Below are 6,990 nucleotides of genomic sequence, written 5' to 3' on the forward strand. Positions count from 1 at the left end.
AAAGAAGCCAGAAATAGAAGTTTTAAGGGTTCCACAGTAAAGAGAGTAGAAAATTATGTATTGATGTAGATATATGTATATGAGGTACTTGTATAGCAACTTATCCAATTTTGAACAAGAACCAAAGTTAAAAGGCAAAATAAATTATCTTGTTATGATTTTTAATTTCTTCAGAAAAATAGAACTATTCTATTTAACTATATATTAGTACATGTTTAGGACAGTGCTTCATCCTTTTAAAACTACTTTATCATGTATTATTGCAGTGAAGACAGATAGTAGAAGGATAAAGTGCATGGACTTTGAAGCCAGATAGCTACATGCTAAGTGTAATTTTTGAATTTATTTAAATGTTTTAGCTTGTTTTTTATTAGCTCTAAAATTGAGATAATAATAGCACCTGCTTCCTAGTGTTGTTGGGAGTTTTGAACATGATAATATATAAAGTGCCATGTGCATTCTACTCATTATTCATACGTTCATTCATACCTTCAATGATTTTATTCAGCAATTGATTACTCAGCACCTACAATGTGCCAGACACTCTCTTAGTCTTTGGGAAGAATACAAAAATAAATAATTATTGTCCTGGGGAGATCGAATTCTTGCATGGGAAGAGGACTAATAAATAATCAAATTTGTAATATAGAATAGGTACGTGCCATCAAGAAAATAAATCAGGCAAGAGGGTAAGGAGTGTAGGGTTCAGAGTGTTGCAATATTGAATAAGGTGAACAGAAATGGCTTCATCAAGAAGATCAGAATTGAGCAAAGACTTCAAAAAGTTGAGAGAGTAAGCCACATGCTTTCTGTAAGAAGAGAATTTCAGAAGAGGAGAGAGCAAGTGCAAAGACCCAAGGCCAGAGAACACCTGCTATGCCTAAAGAAGATGTGAGAGTGAGAGTTATAGCAGATGAAGGCAGAGGAATCGACAGAAGACTAGCACAGTAGAGCTTCATGGATAGGGTATTGCAAGGAACTCAGCTTTTACCCCAGCACAGAGCCACACCATCAGTGGGTACACATCATCCCTCCAACCCCAGACAGGCAGCCCTCTGGCTCACCTTTCAGTAGTAGCAACAATGACTGTGCCAACAGCAGTATGCAGAAGGGAGGAATGTGTTCTGCTCTCTATGCATAAGCTCTAGCACAGAGCCTGCTCTGCCAGTGGGAAAGGACCTCATGCTTTGCTTGCAAAACCAAGCACAGTGTGTCACTGCTTTAAGTGGAGTCATTTCTCATAGGCCCAGACAGGGAGCTCTTGGGCTCTGGAAAGCACACATTTTGGTTGTCTTTGTTCCATGGGTTGCCTTTTTTATGTTCTGCACTGCTCTTTCCCTGGGAATAGTACTCCAAGGCTGCAGTACTGGGGGCCCCATAGCATCTTTGTGTCCAGCCAGTGCTATGCCATTGTAGCACTAAGGTTACTGGGTTACTAATGTCAGTGGGGGCTTGTGGAATGTGAAGATATGGGAGCCATAACTCCCAATGCAGGATGTAGTTCTACAACAGCTGTCACAAGGGTGCCCAGCTACAGCCACTTAGGTCTTGGAGTGAGTGACTCAGTGTGAATTTTCTGTCTGATACAATGCCTTTATGGAGTCTCCAAATCACTACCCATGCTAGGATCAGGGTTTATCTGGGTAGAGTTTTGGATCCCAAGGTTTGGATTACAGCAATCTTACCTGGGGATGTAAACCACTGATGTTCTCCCACTTAGCCTTTCGCTACCATACTGAGTCCCTTGGGGCTCCTGGCTAATCTCAGATGATCTGCCATTCATTTCCTTGTTCTCCAGTGCCTCAGGTATTTCCTGTGACTTCTCTGTTGAGTTCTCTGTTAGATTTCTATTCAAAATATGATTATTTATTCATAATTTTGGTTCTTCTTTCTAGAGGGGCATGTGTCTGACATCTCTAGTGAGCCATTATAAACCAGTATCTATGGACATATTTTATGTATATTGTGGTAGAAAGCAAGAAAGAGCAAATGAAGAATAATTCATCTATATTCACAAAGAGACCAGATATAATTATTATTAACTTATAATCCTTACTTTATAAATTAAAAAATACCAAAATCTAAGTAGATTAGAGATTGGCCAACGTGGTGTTAGTTTGTGGTGCCACCAGAATGCCTACAACTAGAATTAAGGCATCTGGACTACAAATATGTTTCCTTACTCTATACCTACATTGCTTCCTAATATAACATTTATGCTATTTAACCTTAAATTGTGAGCAATTTGCTCAATGCAAATACAAAGTCAGAATATCTGGAATTCAGCCAAGTAACAATTTCCTCAGCCATTTACTGTTCCTTCCACGAGGTAGTGAAAGATTATCCAAGAGTTCACAGATCTGATAGGATGCCATTCATAACTTATAATGCATTTGCTCTAATACTAAGACTAAGGAATGACTGTTATGATAAAATGTGAAAGAACTATTCGTTGAATGAAAAGAACAATTCTAAGTAAAAATGTGTTCATTTTTCTCCTCACTTCTTATAAGTTTCAAGACCATGTGAAACAAATGAAAAATTCTTGGGGAAAGCTGGGACAAACAACTCTATTAACATAGCTGTGTGAACTTCCTTGCTAATGGCTCCCTACCCAGCTCCTTCACTCTAAGAGGGTGAAATTCTCATTTAACACAAGAAAGCAATTTGACTAAGACTTCTTGAATTAAACCTTCAGAATAAAAGGAAGCACAGGCACTATCTGATGAGACTAAGAAATAATGCAAGCCTCACTTTCAGGTGTAAGTCAATTGATGAGGAAATAAATTCCTGAGAGCTTTTTCCTATTATGGCCTCTGATTGCAGGCAGCATTCTGAGTTGTAGGGTGATGACACACCAGAGTTATAAGCAACCTGGAAGGATAGTAGTGCAGCCTATTTGGCAGCAAATAGCATCCACCTGGTCCAGTTAATGATGAATTGGCTGAACTCATTTCAGGTTTCTGTACTTGAGTTTGGCAGGAAAAGTGGTACATTGAAGCCAGTTCCAGGAAAACAGCCAGGACCAGAAGAAGGGAGAGGGAGGTTAATTTTGACTTATATACTTCAAGCTAACCAATAGTGCTCTACTAACCTGGATTTTCCATATAAAGTCACTTAGATTATAAGGTGCAAATATGTCTTTAATTGTAAGATGACCTTGTGCAGCTTACGGTAATCACTTAGATAGCCATGGAAAACATGCAAAAGAAGGAAAAAGAACAATTTTTTTTTTTTGGATCATGAGAATGAGGCAGTGGCAGAAAAGTAACTTAAAGATTGGTTTTCATATCGAGTTTATAAGGATCTATCAAATCAATTTGTGGCTATGCCTTGTAAATGTTTTGTAGTCAATGTAGATGGCTGAAAGTTGAGCTAGGTTTAAAAATGGAAGAAATTAGTATAAAACATTAAACTGTTTATAAAATACTAGTGACAAAAAAATAAAATTGCCAGATAAAAGATGCCAGGATGCTCAGGTCAATCTGAGTTTCAAATAGAGGATAATTTTAAGTGCAAATATGTTGTAAATATTGCAATTTTTAGTTTTTTAGCATTGCATATTTTAGTATTATTTAGTATTTTTTATTATTGCATATTTATTTCAAATGTGTCCCAAGTATTGCATGGTACATGCTTAAGCTAAAAAAAAATTTTGTCGACATGAAATTCAAATTTAACATGATATAGTTTATTTTTATTTGCTGAGCCTGGAAACCTTAAGTGGAAAGAAGACATTTGGAATAAGCCAGCAAAGTTTTTAGAAGAATACATTTTTCAAGGAGATGAAAAACTCGATCTAGTCTCAATATTATATTTAATCATCTGTGTGACCTTGAACATGTTATTTAATCACCCTGAATCTCAGTTTCCTCAGCTGTAAGTTGTCATTTTAATAATATTAGTTTCAATTTTATGATGTATATATACTCATAAACTGAGGTCTCCTGTTATATGAAAACCTGCAGCCTGGATTATCAAACTAAATACTACCACCTACTGTAGCAGGACGAGCCGCAGACAAAACCTCTCAGACACCAAGTTGTAGAAGGAAGGGCTTTATTCAGCTGGGAGCATCGGCAAGCTACTGCCTTAAAATCCAAGCTCCTCAAGTGCACAATTTCTGTCCCTTTTAAGGGCTCACAACACTAAAGATTTCACATGAAAGGGTCGTGATTAATTGAGCAATCTAGGGGATACGTAACAGGGGTTTCATGCACTGGTAGTCAGAGTGAAACAGAACAGGGCAGGGAGTTTCACAATGTTCTTCCATACGATGTCTGGAATCTATGAATAACATCAGTTTCTAAGCTATGGTTGATTTTTAACTACTAGGTTTAGGCCAGGCAGGCCCAGGCCTGGTTTCAGGCCTGGCGCCGGGCTGCCTGTCTTTGATTTCACTTCCTTGTTTTTTTCTTAAAACAGGTACTGAGTATAAAACAATATAAAACAATATGAGAGGGTCTCTCTCTTCCCTCACTACCACTAATTAGCACTTGCCAAGGGACTGTACAAAGCCCTATAATTACAGGGTATTAAGCATTTAACTCCTATATTATACAATAACATAATACTGTAACATTGGCGGAATTATCTTCCACTTTACAGATGAGGAAAACACTTCAAAATTTAAATAACTTGCTTTCAGAACATGAAGCTACTAAGTGGCATATCCAGGACTTAATCCCCAATTTTTATGACATAAAAGCTTATACTGTGCAAACTATATGTACTAAATTGTTTGCCTAAATTTGATCAGATAACTACTCAGCCTTCTTTACCTTATATTTATCATACAGTTAGCCACCTTGGATGAATTTATTTCCATGGGGGCGGTGGGGGGGAAATGAAGCACTGATTTAGCCATGTGTATAAACAGAACACACAGATCAACTGCTATTTTGTCAACTTGCCTAATGAAGTTACATCAGTGTTCTTTCTCCTGGTAGTTTTGTTACTTCAGAATCCTTGCCTCAAAAGAAAATTAGCAATCAGTCAACAGAGTCTATGCCAGTTTCAGTCATCTGGCAAAGCATCTGTTGAAAGACTATAGATTCACAATCCGCATCAATAGAGATATGGCACATGCTATGGTGCCTACCCATTTGCAATGTGGCTGAGGATGGGAAATGTGAAGTGCATATTAGGAAACATAATTGACTTAGTTCTATAATAACTCAGCAATGGTAGAAATAAAGTACATGATGCCAAGTAGCAAAAAAGCAATTTTCTTTCAATCTTGTATGCATCATAAACACTTCTACGAGATGACAGGCAAAATAAGAAAATATTCCAAAAGTAGCATGCTATTCTAAATATATTATATGATGTTATTAAAATGTCAGCACAGCTTTGATGGTTCTATAATGTTAATTTTTTTAAAATGCAAAACCTCATAAATATATTATGGCCCTTTCTGGAAAGGGAAGAAGATAAGCAGGCGTATAGAAAATGTCATGTGAAATAAAATCACAACATTTGAGTGGAATCTAGTCAAATTCTGCCACAAGCGACTGGTGAGGCAGGGAATGAGGACCTGAGTTTTCAATAGGAGGAAGATGAATGAGAATGCTGCTGCTTGCTGAAGGAGGAAAAGGGAGATTTGAATCCATTCCCTGCCACTGCGTGGTGCTAGGAGCCAAAGGAGAGAATTGACAAGCTGACCCCTGCTATTCAGTGTGACACTCCATTAAGGAAGTTTAACCCCCTGGTAAGGATTTTTAAAGTGGCAAAAGTAAAGGGAAACAAGTGGCTTTTCTGGGTCGATAATGTTAAATATGAGGCTCTATCACAGTCTAAGAATCCCAGACTCTTCTCAGGAGTATGGCTTTCTCTGAAGTAAACAGTAGGAAGAGTCAACAATAGCAGAAACAGACAAACGCTGTGGGCAGCACCAGGTACTTGAATCCCAGCCTGATTGGGAATGGGTAAGTGCCAATGGGAAACTAAGAGAACATGTGGAATGTGATGGATGGCAGCAGTTTGAGGGGCTTCTTGGGAATCTCTCTTCTCGCTGAACCCCTGATCCTGTAATGGGTGGAAGTAGAACAATGACAAACCACTCCTTTGATGCCTAGCTACAGATCACTAAAGGATTATTTAGGACTTTGACTATCAGCAGGCTGCTGAGGTCTAGACAAGAACCTGCTCATGGGCACCATTAAATGAGTCATTTTATTAAATAAAACAAAGCCCATGTAAAAATTAAGGACATGTGTTATTTGTGTTAGCTCCCGAGACCTAAAGTTATAATGCATTTTGATAGGAAAGTAATATTTTGCAATCCAAGATAACTGTTTACCTCTTTTGTGTGACTCAGCAGTGGATAAAATGATACTACACAAACTAAACAAACCAACAAAAAAAGCCAGTAACAACAACAAACAACTGTAACCACTGCAGAATTTCAGTTTAGTACCTGAAGAAGATTTTATACTTCCAGAATTAGACTATTCTCTTTCTTAAGCTATAAATGACACACAGACTGGGCCTAAGCTATATTTATGTACACTTAGGCCTAATAATTAATGGCTTTCTTTATTTGGGTTCCATTTAAAAATTAGCATACCATATATTGCTATTTTTATTTTTTCATAATTACCTCTAAAAATTATTGAACAGTAGTTTCAAAGAACAGAAACTGCTTTAGCCATTGTGTATAAGAGCATACTAAAGAAGATTAAGTGTCTCATAAAATTGTAGTGAGAAATGAAGAAATAAACTGTAGACTGGACTTCTAGAAAGAACATCCGCAATCTGGGAGTCACATGGTGAATCTGGAAACTGTTGCAACAGCTGACAAGTCCATAATCTGCACCAGCAAAATGAATGCCCTTTATCTTGCCTCTCTCTTCACCCGATTCAGTTCCTATCCAAGTCTTACGAGAATGCCTTTGATTGGTGCACCTGCCATCAAAAACCTAAGCAGCAAAGAAATCTGGGAAATGTATTATTTGCCTTTCTGATTTCTGGCTGAAAGTTAGTGGGAAT

General features: G+C 37.6%; 1 annotated feature.

Moving 5' to 3' along the window:
* Positions 4,348-4,417: an enhancer, noted in NCBI's record as "active region_22096". NCBI's record gives its function as "activates an Ori minimal core promoter by ATAC-STARR-seq in GM12878 lymphoblastoid cells {active_cell/tissue: GM12878}" and the evidence as "EXISTENCE:reporter gene assay evidence [ECO:0000049][PMID:35858748]".

Source organism: Homo sapiens, chromosome 4 (genome assembly GCF_000001405.40).
Source record: "Homo sapiens chromosome 4, GRCh38.p14 Primary Assembly".
NCBI lineage: Eukaryota > Metazoa > Chordata > Mammalia > Primates > Hominidae > Homo > Homo sapiens.